The sequence below is a fragment of the Homo sapiens genome, chromosome 15 (assembly GCF_000001405.40).
Source record: "Homo sapiens chromosome 15, GRCh38.p14 Primary Assembly".
In the NCBI taxonomy this organism is placed as follows: domain Eukaryota; kingdom Metazoa; phylum Chordata; class Mammalia; order Primates; family Hominidae; genus Homo; species Homo sapiens.
This window is the reverse complement of record NC_000015.10, coordinates 71,842,864-71,859,894: the sequence shown is the minus strand read 5'-3', so window position 1 is coordinate 71,859,894 and position 17,031 is coordinate 71,842,864. Positions and strand designations below refer to the sequence as shown.

General features: G+C 38.0%; 1 protein-coding gene and 1 pseudogene across 50 annotated transcripts in view; one reads left to right on the top strand and one right to left on the bottom strand.

The window, feature by feature from the left end:
- Window positions 1-17,031, top strand: part of MYO9A (myosin IXA) — a 296,310-nt gene that overhangs the window by 258,706 nt on the left and 20,573 nt on the right. For 37 of the 50 annotated variants that reach the window (XM_047432576.1, XM_047432553.1, XM_047432585.1 and 34 more), the window contains 7 exons: window positions 99-160; window positions 5,326-5,518; window positions 7,635-7,763; window positions 8,537-8,642; window positions 9,728-9,859; window positions 10,927-11,050; window positions 12,427-12,480. In XM_047432576.1, the coding sequence (XP_047288532.1) occupies window positions 99-160; window positions 5,326-5,518; window positions 7,635-7,763; window positions 8,537-8,642; window positions 9,728-9,859; window positions 10,927-11,050; window positions 12,427-12,480 (800 nt within the window). The remainder of the gene's footprint in view (window positions 1-98; window positions 161-5,325; window positions 5,519-7,634; window positions 7,764-8,536; window positions 8,643-9,727; window positions 9,860-10,926; window positions 11,051-12,426; window positions 12,481-17,031) is intronic. The other 13 variants (XM_047432578.1, XM_047432559.1, XM_047432549.1 and 10 more) reach the window with 1 other exon arrangement.
- RNA5SP399 (RNA, 5S ribosomal pseudogene 399) lies at window positions 1,209-1,325 on the bottom strand (annotated as a pseudogene).

The window sequence follows — 17,031 nt, the reverse complement described above, 5'->3', positions numbered from 1 at the left end:
AAGAAAAAAACGTAGGTCTAAAATAAAGTATACTTGATAAGTTATTATCACTGATGTACAGACTTCTAAAAATGTTGCATTCCTCACCTATTTTTCAGTATGCAAGTATGCTTGCCATAAGAAGTGCTGTCTGAAAACCACAGCCAAGTGCTCTAAAAAGGTAAGAAATTATCACCTATCAGTAATAGATAACAGACCTGTTGGTCTTTTGTGCCTTATGGAAATAAATTAAGGCCTTTTTGATAGTTTTACAGATGAGTGGTTTTTAAACTTTTTGACCACAAATCACAGTAGAAATATGTTTTATGCCATGATCCAGTTCATATGTTTGGTGATATATGTACAAAAATGAATTGATTTTCATAGAATTATTTTACCGTTACTATATGTGAGTTACTAAATTAATTTCGTAAACCACAATTTGAAGAACACTGCATTGAGGTTTCATACTTCCTTAAATGCTCATAAATCTTCTAGGAATTATCCTTAATGCAGTAAGCTACAATTAAAGATGAACAAATTTAAACATGAGTAGCAAAATTCACCAGCATGGATGGTTGGTGTTTTTACATATATCTCTTGGATACACAGAGATCTAAAATATACTGTACACATACTGTTTGATACCTTATGTTTCAAGGAGGTAATCTTTTTAAAAAATTCAGGCTTTTATCGATGTATGATCACAACATTTTCTTATTCATTAATCACATACTGACAGTTGTTACAATAGCATGCAAATCTGAAATATAAATGTGTGTGCATGTTGTTTGCAGTAGACAAATCATGGCAAAGTACAGAGAGAAATTTGATTCAGGAATTAAAATGCAAAGAATATGAGTGAGACATTTGCTTCCAGCTAAGATGGAGCAGCTTATGTCAGACAAATACTAAAAAAGTTTGTTGGCAAGCATCAGGGAGCTGCACAGGCAAATTGTACTTTAGGAGACTAGATTTTAGAGAGAAGAGAATGCAGAGTAGTGAATCTACATCTGTGAGATGTTTTTCTTCTAGTGGGAATTTTCCTTTTTTTTTTTTTTATTATACTTTAAGTTCTAGAGTACATGTGCACAACGTGCAGGTTTGTTACATATGTATACATGTGCCATGTTGGTGTGCTGCACCCATTAACTCATCATTTACATTAGGTATATCTCCTAATGCTATCCCTCCCCCCTCCCCCCACCCCACGACAGGCCCCAGTGTGTGATGTTCCCCTTCCTGTGTCCAAGTGTTCTCCCATCCAAGTACTAACCAGGCCTGACCCTGCTTAGCTTCTGAGATCAGAAGAGATCGGGCGCATTCAGGGTAGTATGGCCATAGACCCAAGTGTTCTCATTGTTCAATTCCCATCTATGAGTGAGAACATGCGGTGTTTGGTTTTCTGTCCTGGCAATAGTTTGCTGAGAATGATGGTTTCCAGCTTCATCCATGTCCCTACAAAGGACATGAACTCATCCTTTTTTATGGCTGCATAGTATTCCATGCTGTATATGTGCCACATTTTCTTAATCCAGTCTATCATTGATGGACATTTGGGTTGGTTCCAAGTCTTTGCTATTGTGAATAGTGCCGCAATAAACATATGTGTGCATGTGTCTTTATAGCAGCATGATTCATAATCCTTTGGGTATATACCCAGTAATGGTATGGCTGGGTCAAATGGTATTTCTAGTTGTAGATCCTTGAGGAATCACCACACTGTCTTCCACAATGGTTGAACCAGTTTATAGTCCCACCAACAGTGTAAAAGTGTTCCTATTTCTCCACATCCTCTCCAGCACCTGTTGTTTCCTGACTTTTTAATGATCGCCATTCCAGCTGGTATGAGATGGTATCTCATTGTGGTTTTGATTTGCATTTCTCTGATGGCCAGTGATGATGAGCATTTTTTCATGTGTCTGTTGGCTGCATAAATGTCTTCTTTTGAGAAGTGTCTGTTCATATCCTTTGCCCACTTTTTGGTGGGGTTGTTTGTTTTTTCCTTGTAAATTTGTTTGAGTTCTTTGTAGATTCTGGATATTAGCCCTTTGTCAGATGAGTAGATTGCAAAAATTTTCTCTCATTCTGTAGGTTGCCTGTTCACTCTGATGGTAGTTTCTTTTGCTGTGTAGAAGCTCTTTAGTTTAATTAGATTATTTTTCCATGTACCTTTATATACTTTTACCTATCAATATTCACTAAATGTAAAAAGTGCAAAAAAAAAAACTGTCGATACAAACATAATGTTGACTGAAAGCTAGAGACAAAAGAGTACATTTAAACAAAGTTCAAAAATAGATTAAACTAACTCAAGGTGCACATACTCTGTTTTTCCATTTATATAATATCCAAAAGCAGGTAAAATTAATTTTTAGTGACAGAAGTACAGATACTGGTTATTTGTGAAGGGTAAAGGGCATAGTGGCTGGAAGGGACCTGGGGGAATTTTAAACTGCTTGGTAATATTCTGTTTCTTAATCTGGGTCTTTGTGAAAATCCATTAAGCTGTAACTTGCAATGTGTGTATGTCACAGCTCAATAAAGATTTTATTTAAAATACACATTGAAGTTAGTTTAAATGAAAAATAACTATGAAACAAAAACTATAAAAATATATTTTTAGAAAAATACTCAGAATTTTTTTTTCCATTGAAAATAGTAAGATTAATTTGTCTCTTCATTTCAAGAAATAGAATGTTCTAGCATGTTTGCTTTAGATTACTTAGTTTCAAATCAAGTTATTTTTAAAGTTTTTGTTTAATACCTAAAAGTATTTTGTTATTTTGCTTCCACAAGTCATAACATTTCTAATGCCATAGGGATTTAAATAAACAGAATATGTATTTGCACATCTGTGTCCCAGCATTAGGAAAACATTTGACTAAAATTTAATCATTACAGCAAGCCTTATTCTATTCTATTTCTATAATAATTTTTTCAGTATTTGACGTATACCAGGTTGTCATGCTGTGTATGTTCAACTTAATCTCTACAACAACCCTCTGAAGTAGAAAGGAGGTATTTCTGTTGCAAATGTGAAATAACCTAGCCAAGTTCACATAGTGACAAGGCAAAACTTTTAATATGCATCCTCTAAATATTCCAAGATTGTGTCCTATTCTGCCTTAGACTTGGAAATGCTTTTCAGAGATGTTGTGTGATATTAAGATAATTTAATGTATGTCAAAATAGACATGAAATTAATACTCTAAGGATTAAGAGCTGGAATGCAGAGCATGTAGATACATGCATGAATGATGCAAAATAATACTGATAATACTGCTAAAACTAATAAACTGATTATTCCTTTATTTAAAATTATCTGGTAGCTTCATTTCCGTAGCCACTTTGCTCTGCCTACCTTTGTAGTTTTATATTTCCTGTGCCTAAAAGATCTTGCTTTCTTTACTTATCTATTACTTGCTTTCCAACACTAAGGTTGAACATCAGGTCTTTTCAAGATCATTAGTTGTTTGTTATCCAGCCCAGTCTTTCCTGATCTAGTTGTCTCTCTTCTGTGTTTCCATAATAGTTAATCTATTTATAATTTTACTTATCTCCACACACTAACACTACTAGTCTTTTTCTTTTTTTTTCTTTTGAGACAGAGTTTTGCCCTTGTTGCCCAAGCTGGAGTACAGTGGCGTGATCTTGGCTCACTGCAACCTCTGCCTCCTGTGTTCAGGTGATTCTCCTGCCTCAGCCTCCTGAGTAGCTGGGATTACAGGTGCCCACCACTATGCCTGGCTAATTTTTGTATTTTTAGTAGAAATGGGGTTTCACCATGTTGGCCAGGCTGGTCTTGAACTCCTGACCTTAGGTGATCCACCCACCTCAGCCTCACAAAATGCTGGGATTACAGGTGTGAGCCACTGTGCCGGGCCTAACACTACTAGTCTTAAGCAGAAGGCCTTGATTTTGTTTCCTTGGTACCTAACACATAAATGACAAATGTATGAATGTAAGGCTGGAAAGTAGAAATTAGAATCAGTTCAAGTAAGTTCTTGAGTATGAGACTCAAGAATGTTTGCACTTTAGTTTGCTATATACTAATTAGCCGCTAAAGGTTTTTGAGGATAATAAAACAGATTATATATACTACAGAATATATTAAAAGGAGACATATGAATATGGGGAAAACTCGCCAAGAAAGTGTTGAAATAGTCTAATTGGTTAGTGATATAGTTTTGAGCTGGGGTGATGACACTTAGAACAGAAAAGAAACAATAAAGAGGATGAACTGATTGACTTGGCAACTGGTTGGATGCAGGTTAAAGGAGAAAATGGAATATATAGTTAGGGAAGGACAATGGTACAGGAGAAGGAAAGACAGATTTGCAAAACAATTTTCAGTCTCAGAGATAATACCTGCCATTTTTCTTTTCAGTGAATTACTTCAAATAATCTTAAGGGTAAGCTGTTATGTTGCAGTCACATAGGATATAAAGTAACCTATAGGTTAATAAAGTATAATATTGGCTGGACACAGTGGTTCATGCCTGTAATCCCAGCACTTTGGAAGGCCAAGGCGGGCAGATCACTTGAGGTCAGGAGCTCGAGACCAGCCTGGCCAACATGATGAAACTCCGTCTCTACTAAAACTACAAACATTAGCTGGGCGTGGTGTCATGTGCCTGTAGTCCCAGCTACTTGGGAGGCTGAGGCACGAGAATCGCTTGAACCTGGGAGGTGGAGGTTGCAGTGAGCTGAGATCGCATCACTGCACTCCAGCCTGGGTGACAGAGCGAGACTCTGTCTCAAATGAATGAATGAATGAATGCATGAATAAATAAAGTGTGATATCAGATACGCTATTCAAGTCCATACAAAAGAGCTGTAACAGTAGTCATGGGCTGATCTGTGTGTACCTCTGCCTTTAATTATGAAATCATTTTTCAGTTAAACTTCCGTAAAGTTTATATAAACATCAAAGCATTCTTATGCTTAAGAACTTGCTGACAACTCTAATTCTTATCAAATTAGTAGATTTTCTAGTGGTATCTGGTAGGTGGTCAAGCTGTTTGCATATAAAATCCAACCCTTTTCCCCACACCCAAATCCCACCTTTGCTTTTGAAGCAATTTTTTGATAGGAGAAGCTGTAGCCCTTTGCCACTGCCTTCATTCTTCACTCCATTATTTTCTTTTGGAGATTCTGGTGGAAAAGGATTGAAACTAATATCTCATTTATACTTACTTAAACATAATTCCCTTTCTCCCAACTCTTCTAACTATGCTCATAAAACTTCAGAGAAATAAAAAAGTAGCTCCTGGTAAAGAAATGGTTAAACATGTTTCAAGATGTTTGAATGCATTTGGAAACTAAAAATTATCTTTCATTTAGTATGATCCAGAGCTGTCATCTCGACAATTTGGGGTTGAACTGTCCCGTTTGACCAGTGAAGACCGAACTGTTCCTTTAGTAGTGGAAAAGCTCATAAACTACATTGAAATGCATGGACTGTATACAGAAGGTATTTATCGAAAGTCTGGTTCGACTAATAAAATCAAGGAGCTTCGGCAGGGTCTAGATACAGGTAAGATAGTGCCCTCTAAATCATAATGAAATACTTTTATTTAAATAGTTCCTTTCATGCTCTTAAAGTTTTCATTACATGTCAATCCTTTACTTAGCAGCCAGAAGAATGCATTCTTTTCTGTGATGCTTTGTTATCATTTTTTGGCTTTCTAAAGAGTCTTTGGTTTCATTTGGTCAACTCAGCAGACATATATTGAGCATATAATTTGCACTTGGGACAGATCTCATTTAATTTTTGTAATAATTTAGTAAGATTGTGATACCTCTGATTGACAAAGAGAAAAACTAAGGTATAGGGAAATTAAATAATGAGCTGCTGATGATGATGCAAGGTGCTGTACTAATGTTTTTATAATATTCACAACAATCCTATGAATTAGGGATATTATTATCCCCATTTACAGAAAAAGGAACTGAGGCTTACAGAAGATCTTGCCCAAAGACTGATCGCCAATAAGTGACCAAATTGGAGTTAACCCCAGATCTTCTGAATTCATAATCTATTTCCCCTTTCTCTTTATTATTCTGACTCCAAGGGGTACTCTTTCCTGTGTATCATCTTCTTGCCTGCCTACACTGATGACAGTTACTCAAACTGATAATTAGTGAGTTGAGCATGTATCTTTGTAGAGCTGTAGTTTTAGTACTGGAATTCATGCAGGGGACTGACTCTGGTTTCATTCTCAACTTCTACATTTTACCACTGTTGGGAAGGAATAGATCTTTTTGAACTAAACAGAGTAAAGCATGTCCTTGTGTGGGCAAGAACCTGTGTTCAGTGCTGTTTCTTATGAACAAATCAATGAGAAATGAATTGAGTATGAAAATAATAACAATGACTGGTAAGACTCAGGCAGGAGGTTCCGTCTACAAGAGACTTGGTCTACTTTGGTTTACAGGCAGTTACTGACTTTGTCTCTGATACCTTGAAATAGCACAAGTGAAAATCAATCATCCTGAATCTTCCCCAGTCATCTAATCTGTATATCCTTAGGGAGTTTATAAGTGAAACGGGTGAAGGTGTTTCCTTTACATTTTCTAAGCTCAGTTATCACTGTCCTTTTATCTCTAAGAATGACTTAAAATTAGCCTTACTTTCAGAAAGTGTCCTGTATGCGTTTTTTCATTTGTCATGTAAACCATTGTTACTCAAAGTGTGGTCTGTGGACAAATCCAAAACCAGGTAAGTACAGAAATTGAGAGCAAGCATGTAGAGACGTTTATAGCAGTATAACAGTGCTTCAGCACGAAAACATTCATTCATTCATTCATTCATTCATTCAGAGACAGTCTTGCTCTGTTGCCCAGGCTGTAGTACAATGGTGTGACCTTGGCTCACTGCAACCTCCGTCTCCTGGGTTCAAGCAATTCTGCCTCAGCCTCCCAAGTAGCTGGGATTATAGGCGTGTGCCACCACACCCAGCTAATTTTTATATTTTTAGTAGAGACAGGTCTCACCACGTTGGCCAGGCTGCTTTCTGTCTCCTGGCCTCAAGTAATCGGCCTGTCTCAGTCTCCCAAAGTGCTGGGATTACAGTCATGAGCCGCTGCTCCTGGCCATGATCTTTTATTTTACACATTTCAGTCCACAACAGGTTTGGAAAACAAATACACAAGACGTATTCTTTCACCACAGTTAGAAGCACAGTTCCAAAGCATGGAATTACATTGTGGAAAATAGGTTAGTCAGTTTGACTAAGAAACATGAAGCCGGCCGGGCATGGTGGCTCACGCCTGTAATCCCTCCACTTTGGGAGGCCAAGGCAGGTGGATCACCTGAGGTTGGGAGTTCGAGACCAGCCTGACCAACATGGAGAAACCCCGTCTCTACTAAAAATACAAAATTAGCTAAGCGTGGCGGCGCATGCCCGTAATCCCAGCTACTCCGGAGGCTGAGGCAGGAGAATCACTTGAACTCGGGAGGCAGAGGTTGTGGTGAGCTGAGATCACACCATTGCACTCCAGCCTGGCCAACAAGAGTGAAACTCCATCTCAAAAAAAAAAAAAAAAAAGAAACATGAAGCCTTCCTTTAATGATGATAGTTTCTAAAGTGAATTATTTGAATCTCTTTGCATGTTTTGGCTCTGTTAATCTAACTCTTGTCTCTAAATAGATGCTGAGAGTGTAAATCTAGATGACTATAACATACACGTCATTGCAAGTGTATTCAAACAATGGCTTCGAGATTTGCCCAATCCTCTCATGACCTTTGAACTCTATGAGGAATTTCTTCGAGCTATGGGTAAGCATAGGCTTCCTGGGTTAGAGAGAAGGCCTATAGTTGGGAAAGAAATGCCATCTTGAGTATAGATTATCAAGCCATCCTCTAGTGGTTTAATTCTTATAGATTCAAAGGTAAGCTTTTGACAGTGAATACAAAACGGCTAGTATACTGTCACCTATTCAAATGTTGACTTTTTAGAGACTCATCAAAACGTTAGTGTCCTAAAAATTTTCTGAGTGAGACACTTGGTTGCTTCTTACAAAGAAATGGAAAGACTGGGGTTATAAAACAGATTAAAATATTAAAAATAAGTTTTAAGATTAGGCTTATGTTCATTTAAATTGGAAATCTAGGCAAGAACTATGTGTAAAGCTGGCTGTTTTATGCCAAGCTTAACAGGTTTCAGAGTTTAGTTTCTCAGTGCTGTAAGTGCGTAGGATATTGATAAAGGCCTTCCTAGAGGTATTTAGGCCCTGAGGATTCATAAATTATGTTGACTTTAATGGTAAATCAATCTGCTACACAATGACTGAAAAACTAGAACATCTCTATCCCCTTGCTGTTATTAAGGATTACTGTGATATAGGTTCAAACTAAGGAGACTGTTTATGAATATAGAACTCAAGCAAAAGGAGTTAAATAGTTACTGTGAGTTGCTCTTCTCCTGCCCTACAGGTACAACTACTCCTAAAACTCTGTAGCCAGCCTTCTTTGCTTCATAGTGTCTGGGAGGAAGATACACTGTATAAGGGGGGATATTTAGTCTTAGTTTCTGCTCTTACTGTTTTTAGGCCTTCAGGAGAGGAAGGAGACAATCCGTGGTGTATACTCTGTGATTGATCAACTCTCCCGAACTCATCTCAATACACTGGAACGCCTCATCTTTCATCTAGTCAGGTAACTTTAAGAAGCAAGGGAACGATTTTTAATAGTTTCTCTTGGATTATTTTAAATAGATAAGGAATTTCTCCATTTGGAAGACTGACAGGTATTTATTTTTTCTTCTATTTATAAAGTCAGTGTCTCAAACAGGTGGTTAGGATACCTTGGAGCAGAAATATTCAGCTGAGCTGGAATGCATGGCAGTTGCTTTTCTGCCCTTGTTTGAACCATGTAACAGCTTCAGCCTCATGGTGGCAGTGTGTAGTTTAGCCTGTTTTCTAACAGCTGAACTAGAAAGGATATATAATCTATTGAAATGACCTAATTCATATGAGGGGTTCAGATCATTCTCAGGAATTGACCAAAGAGGCGTCAGGAGTAGTGTCTCTTCCCCTGTGTGTAAATATCAGCAGTAGTTGAGAAGAAAGCCATCTTTATTTTTGGTTAAAGCCTCTACTCTGCATTCTTTTTTTTTTTTTTTTTTTTTTTTTTTTTTTTTTTTGAGACACAGTTTCAGTCTGTCACCCAGGCCGGAGTGCAGTGACGCAATCTCAGCTCACTGCAACCTCCGCCTCCCCGGTTCAAGTGATTCTCCTGCCTCAGCCCCCTACATAGCTGGGATTACAGGTGTGCGCCACCACACCCTGGCTAATTTTTGTATTGTTAGTAGAGACAAGGTTTTGCCATGTTGGCCAAGATTGTCTCAAACTCCTGACCACAAGTAATCTGCCCACATTGGCCTCCCAAAGTGCTGGATTACAAGTGTGGGCCACCGTGCCTGGCCGATTCTGCATTCTTTGGACATGTTCATCTAGTGATCTTGGCCTAGAGCAGGTAGGTCACAAATTTCCCTTGGGAAGCTATCGGCTGACCTAGACTGCTTCAAGGAAAGAACAAGTGAAAATACATTTTCCAGAGACAAAGGAACAAAGGAACAACTTGGGAAAAGTCTGCAGACCCTTAAACTTAATGGATATCCTTCTAGTACTATGCAGTTCATGTCATACTGTCTTCTTTTGCTCATCTCTTCTGCCTATTTCCCTATGGTGCTCCCTTTTTATCCCTTACTCATTTGTTTTTTGTTTTGTTTTAATTCTTAGGATTGCTCTGCAGGAAGACACTAATCGAATGTCTGCTAATGCTTTGGCCATTGTGTTTGCGCCCTGCATTCTCCGCTGCCCTGACACCACTGACCCACTACAAAGTGTACAGGACATCAGTAAGACTACCACGTAAGGCCAGTTACCATAACCTTTGCAAGACCTCAGGGACTTCTGACTATGTAGTCACTGTATCCAGATATCAAACATAGTGAATGGGTTCATAAATTCAGGTGTTTTTAAGAAGATTGTTGGACACTGCTGGGTTTTCTTATGCTGAGGATGCAAACTCCTGGATTCAACTGAGCATCATTTGTCTTAAAGCATCTTATTTTTAAAATCTGGCTTTTCTTTAGGACTGCTTGTAGTTTCTAAATAGATTTTAAATTTCCATTTTACCAAATTATGGACACTTAGTATCTTCCTGTAATCTAGTCTAACTGTGGTCTTAATGGCTCTGAATCCTTTGGTCTTAATACTTCAGTATTCCTGTATTTCACCTTGGTCTTTTTTCTTGAGGCTCTGCTTTCCTTCTAACATGGTTTTCTTTTGCTCTCCTCAATCTTGACTGCAAAAGGAACTTTAAAAAATATATCAATATTTGGATCCCATCCCCAGAGAGTCTGATTTAATTGGTGTAGCGTGTAGCCTGGGCATTGGGATTTGTAACTGCTCTTTATTTTGTATTATTTTTAATTAATTAATTAATTAATTTTTTGAGATGGAGTTTTACTCTTGTCGCCTAGGCTGGAGTGCAGTGGCATGATCTTGGCTCACTGCAACCTCCACCTCCCAGGTTTAAGCGATTCTCGTGCCTCAGCCTCCCAAGTAGCTGAGATTATAGGCGTGCACCACCATGCCTGGCTGATTTAGTATTTTTAGTAGAGACAGGGTTTCACCATGTTGGCCAGGTTGGTCTCGAACTCCTGACCTCAGGTGATCCACCCGCCTCGGCCTCCCAAAGCGCTGGGATTACAGGCATGAACCACTGTGCTCAGCCATAACTGCTCTTTAGATGGCTTCTAAAGTGCAGCCAAAGTTGTGAACCACCATTCTAAACCTTGTCTCTGAGTTTATCAAGTAAGGGATGTTAATTTTTTCCTTCATCTTTCAACTGTCTACCACAAAAACAGTCTGTGAGTGCTATACTTTATTTACTTCACCTCTTAACAGTTTTTTTCTCTTTCCTTCTGTTTCAGTTGTGTGGAACTGATTGTTGTGGAACAAATGAATAAATACAAGGCTCGTCTCAAAGATATCAGTAGCTTGGAATTTGCTGAGAATAAGGCAAAGACCAGGTTGTCACTGATTCGTAGATCAATGGTAAGATGCAACACATGGAATAGTGGAAAAATGGGAGTTGTCTTGGGAATTTAAATGTGCTTTTGTGGTGTATACAAGGATTATTATCAGAATCTTTTTTATAAAAAACAAGTAAAACGTCACCAAATCTCAAGGTGCTATGGATTCCTCATGTTTAATCTGCTGGCTCTCTTTAGTTACATTATAGAATCTATGTGATTAAGTGTGCAGAATTTTTCAAATCAAGTATTTAGATAAAATGTTGGTGTCTTAATAATCTGCCTTGCTTTCTTTTCATGTCCTTTCTATGAAAACGTAATCCTCTTCTAACTTTTTTCTCCACTTCCTTCCACTGTCTGTTCCCGCCTTTAATCGTGTCACTTTTGGTGGTCCTGCCAAGACCCCTGGGATGTAGAGAACTTAATCATTTGTAACTGAATTTAAATGGAATCATTTGATTCTTAAGGAAATGGAATTCCATCTATGAGTCTACTGTAATCAAAAAGTATTTCTTTGAGTTTAGGGTTAGGTTTTGAGACAGTCCTTGTAAAACCGATAATTTATTTCCTTGGTTTGCCCACTTTTTAATATCTTCCTTTGCAACCAGTAACATATAACTCCAGTTCTCAATGACCACTAATCAATAGCTTCAGCCTTATTGATTAGTGGTCATTGAGAACTGGAGTTATCCATATATGTTACCCTGAAGTCAGTTTTCAGGATAACTGGAAAACTGCTGCATTAAGGTTTATTTATTGCCCATTTGCCACCCTTCCTCTCAGTTGTAAAATAAAATTGTGACAATGAGCACGCATTTCAGATTCCCAATAAATCTCTAAAGAGAAGCAGGCTTCATCATGCCCTTACTCTTTCAGGGGTCCAGCAGTACTTCCTCCCATATCTTCACAGTTTGCAAATTAGCACTAAAATAATTCTTTTTCTTCCTTTATTATTTAATCTGCCTGGCACAGAATAAGTGCTTAACAAAGGTCTGTTGATTAAGGTAGTGAAGGGTCTTCTGTAAAAACAAACATAAGCATGGGCTTTTTGCAGGCAGTAAAGATATTAAATAAAACTCATCATAGGGGATACTATCTAAATCTTTTCCCCAGAAATTAAAAACAGAAATCCCACTTAAAAGTGAAACATTTCTGTAGTATGAATTTTCAGGAGCTCAGTTCTGAGAGGCCCAATTTAGTGGTGGCTATCCAGGCAGGAAGGGAAGAGCCTTTTGCTATAAACCTACTTTTCAAAGCAGATAGATAAGCTGCGCTTTTTTCCAGTGCTGCAGAAGATGGATATTCAGTCCATTGCAAGATTAAACCTTCTCTTTTAATGAGGCAATGACATGTACATTCTAACCTTCTGCTTTCCTTTTCATGTCCTTCCTAATCCAGAAACCTGTACTAATTGCAGTTAGATTCATGAACATTACCCGCAATTCAGTCTCGGTATGTATTAATAATGCAATGTGTCACAGCCACTCTACATTATTGTCTCTCGTTCATCCAGGAATTGTTCCGCCCTGTCTATCATTCATGCCTGTCCACCCTCCATGTTCGGCCCCAAGTCAGGTTCTACTTTTTGATTACCTTTCACTTGCTTTTCTCTTAATCTCTTTCTTTAGATCCTTCATTTTCCTTCCTCTGTATTGTGTAGTTGAACAGCATCCATTTAAAATACACTGGTTTTTCCTCTTTGTTAGATGAGCCTCCTTTTGGGTTTCTTCTTTGGTTGAATCATTAAAAGGTGAAAGTTAAAAGCATTGAGATATCAAATTAATTTCTGCTCTATGAGCTGTGTTCCCAGCAATCTCCTCCACTTTATTATTTGAAATACTTACTATTACTTTCAGCATCTCCTATCATTAGTAATGCTTATTTGTCCATTCATATCTGTGACTCCGATGGTGTCCTCCCAGATGTAGAAATATGGTTCTTATCCACTTAGCATTTATCAGACAGAGCTACAAATAGGAGTGAACTAATCCAAATTGGTGGACTAGTTCTAGACTTAAATATTATGGTATGCTAGAACTCATACCAGGATCTCATTGCTGGTATCCCTCTTCAGTTCCATTGATTGTACAAAAAAAGGAATGGGGGGGATGGAAGGCTGAGAACACCAATATTTGTGGAAAACTGTCCACCTGTGTTGTAACCATTTTATTGAGGAGGCTTAACTTGTTGGGATGCTAATACAAGTCAGTTTTTCTTTTTGTCTATAACTGCCTCTTAACTCCAGCCTGTCAAACTTCCCTTTCCCATTAGATATCAGTTACCTTAACAGCATCTTGAAACCAATTCTATAATTTTCAAAAATTCATTTCATTCTAGTATTTAAGAGTCAGTTCTCTTCATATTAAAACTTCAGTCAGTTTTAATCCAGTGCTCTTCTCACTTCCTCCCAGGGCAGACTAGACCTTTATCTGGAACTTAAAACTTTGGAGGGTAGGTGGGTAATTTCTGTTTGTCAGACACTTCTGCCTTTCGTCTTTCTTGACCCTTTCTCCCCTGATGTTGAGACTGGGAGGAGTGATAGGGGAGGCAGAATTCTGTATGATATCTTGGTGTTGAGATGGCAGTCCACTTTCTTGGTTGTTCAACACTGCTATTCCGGCTCATTGTCAGTAGGCTAAGTAAAGATAAGTAGTAGCTCCAGTTTACCCTGTTGACAGTGAACTCAGTTCTATCTCATTTCTGTAGGCACTGATAGTCCCTTGCAAGATATGGTTACATCTTCTGGCTAAATCCTGGGTGTTGGCATTCACACCATATGGGAAGCTGTCAAACTCACAGGGCAGATACAAGTTTTCCAAAATTCTCATATTTGTTTGAAAGCTTGAAATTTACTCACTGACAACAAATATCGCCATTTGTTTCACTTGCAGTAACAGATTCCCTTCATATAATTTCAAACCACGTACTCAAGAAGAATAATCAAACTTTGTCAATTATTGTAAATACTGTTTCATTAATAAAGCAGCTAATTTGGCTTGCAATTCAAAGAATTGCACTAATACTCTTTCTTGAGATAACCATTAGTATGTGACAGAGTTGCTGTATGTGTAATTTCCAGTTAATCATACAGAAAGTTGAAAATAGTTAATTTAACAGTTAAGAAGTAAATAAAATTAATTTACACCTCTTGTTCAATGACATGAAGTGAAACTGACTTTTTAAAAACTAAATGTGTGGTAGCAAAAGAATATGAAGACTGCTAGAACCATTTGGTATCATTACCTTGATTCACGTAACGGTGACAGCAGTTGAACCCACAATTGCTTGTATGTAATTAGTACAGATGTCAACAAGTGAAAATGGCAAATAGCATCTTAGTATAATTATGAAAATAATTTTGACATTGTAGACCCTGTGAAATGGTTTTGAGGACATCATCACACCCCAGCATCTTTGCTGGGGATCTGTGGGCTACACTCTGAGAACCACTGCACTATAATACATATAATACTACCGGCTCACTGCACTTCACAGAAATATTTGATGAGAATAATTCCTTTTCATATGCAAGATATAAATACCTACAAACAGATACTAGCTGTATTTAAAGTGCTTACTAACCCTGATTATCTGGTGAACCATAACTGCAGGCATTGGGATATGATTTTTGAACAAGCTTGGATACCTAGTTATAATACCACACAAAACAACCAGTCTTTTCAAAAAAAAGCCTTGGATAAAGGATCTCTCCTTATCAGGAAAGCAAACTCCTCAGGAAGTGGTCTGATAATTCAGTTCCTTCCTATTTTTGTGACTTAACAAAAGGCACTCAACAGTGATCTTCCGTCTTGCCCTGAAGTGCTATTTTTGAGTAAAATTTCATTAGGATTCTGAGATTTGTGTTTTAGCTAGTTATATTATTATTCTGTCTAGATAATGCATAGTTCCTCCTCCTCACACATTTAACCCATAGACAAACCCTAGTAACGTGTACTTTCTTTGGGTCTTCATAAAGTATCATGACTTTCTGCATGAGGGTAATATATGTCTTTTTCTAAATAGTCATCAGGTTTACTAAAGGCAATGCAATTCATTCCTTCATTATCACCATGAGTCTCTTTTACTGTTTAGGCTTACTTCGATTTATAGTATTTAATTTCTTTGTGCCCATCAATCATGCCTTGCCATTCCTTCTTGCATTCTTTCGCTATCGTGAGCCTTACAGAATTTTCAGAAGAAATCAAAGCTCTCCTCATAGGCCTTATTCATTCTAACACTGGAGTATCTTCTATTTGTTTCCACTGTTATCTTCTTAAAGTCTTAGGAGAAAATGAAAAAGTGAGTTTCAACTGATTCCCTCAAATAGGGTATCCTGTTTCCCTCAAATAGGTATCACTCAGATCCCCCACATTAGAGCATTTGACTCTCAATATTTTTGTTACAGTCTGAGAAGCCTGTAATGGACTGGTCTCACAGAATTCTCACCCAAATTAAATAATTAAGACTGTCTGTTTCAGAATATCATTCTTAGAAAAAATAGACCATAGAATCATATATAGACTTCCTTAGACAGAGCATGGCAAATCTATATGATTAGGTGATTGAATGTGGGTATTAGAAAGCCTGTCCCAAAAGGAAGGAGGGAGAGATGGATTAGACAGTACTGTGTGCCAAATATGGTGAGAATACTAAGGAAGAAGTACTTAATTCTGCCTGGTGGCACAGGGAAAGGCTGTAGAAGTGACATGTGAGCTAGCTCTTAAGGGATGAGTTTAAATTAAGCAGATGGAGAAAGAACTACCAGTTGGTAAAAGTCAACAAGGTTTAATTCTGTAAAAAGCTATATAGCTTACATATAAACTTGTATATATAATTGTGCAGAAGGGAAACCTTAAGTTAAAACCAAAATAGGCTTTGTTTTGAAGCAAACTCTAAGACATTAGTACTATGGGGTCTTGAAGAGTGAGCCAGGACTCACAAAGTCTCAGAGTTTAGTACTTAATGTAAATTTTGGTGCTTTATATCTTATATTTATGATAGGGAATGGGAACTGATGTTAGCTACTATTTTTTAGCCATAAAAACAATTTCCTCCTGGGTCGTCTTCAAGGTTCTCAATAAGAATAGCCAAAAAGGGGCTGGGAGTGGTAGCTCCCAGAACTTCGGGAGGCCGAGGCGGGCGGATCACTTGAGTTCAAGACCAGCCTAGGCAATGCGGTGAAACCCCATCTCTACCAAAAATACAAAAAAATTAGTCAGATGTAGTGGTGTTTGCCTATAGTCCCAGATACTTGGAAGGCTGAGGTGGGAGGATCGCTTGAGCCTGAGAAGCAGAGGTTGCAGTGAGCCAACATAGCACCACTGCACGCCAGCCTGAGTGACAGAGTGAGACCCTGTCTTAAACAAAAACAAACAAAAGAGTAGCTGAAAAGAATCCTAAGACTAATCTATTTATTTATTTATTTACTTTATTTTTGAGACAGAGTCTTGCTGTTGTCAGCCTGGGCTGGAGTGCAATGGCATGATCTCAGCTCACTGCAACCTCCGCCTCCCCGGTTCCAGCAGTTCTTCTGCCTCAGCTTTCCAAGTAGCTGAGATTATAGGTGCCTGCCACCGTGCCCGGCTAATTTTTGTATTTTTAGTAGAGACGGGGTTTCACCATGTTGGCCAGGCTGGTCTCGAACTCCTGACCTCAAGTGATCCACCCACCTCGGCCTCCCAAAGTGCTGGGATTACAGGCATGAGCCACCATGCCTGGCCAAACAGACTAATTTAAAAAGAAGAAGAGATAGGAGAGTTGTCTAAGAACTTCCTCTCATAAAAACATCAGACATAAATAGTTTCACAGAGAAAACGTACCAACTCTTTAAATACATAATTACAATATAATTTAAGCTGTCTCAGAGCAGAGAGGGGAAAAGGTCTTTTTTTTAACTAAAAGAGTCTAACATTGATCCTCACCACCCCCCGCCCCATACACACACACACACATGCATACACAAAGAAAAGCTAATAAAAATTGCATATAGAAATTTTTTTTTTT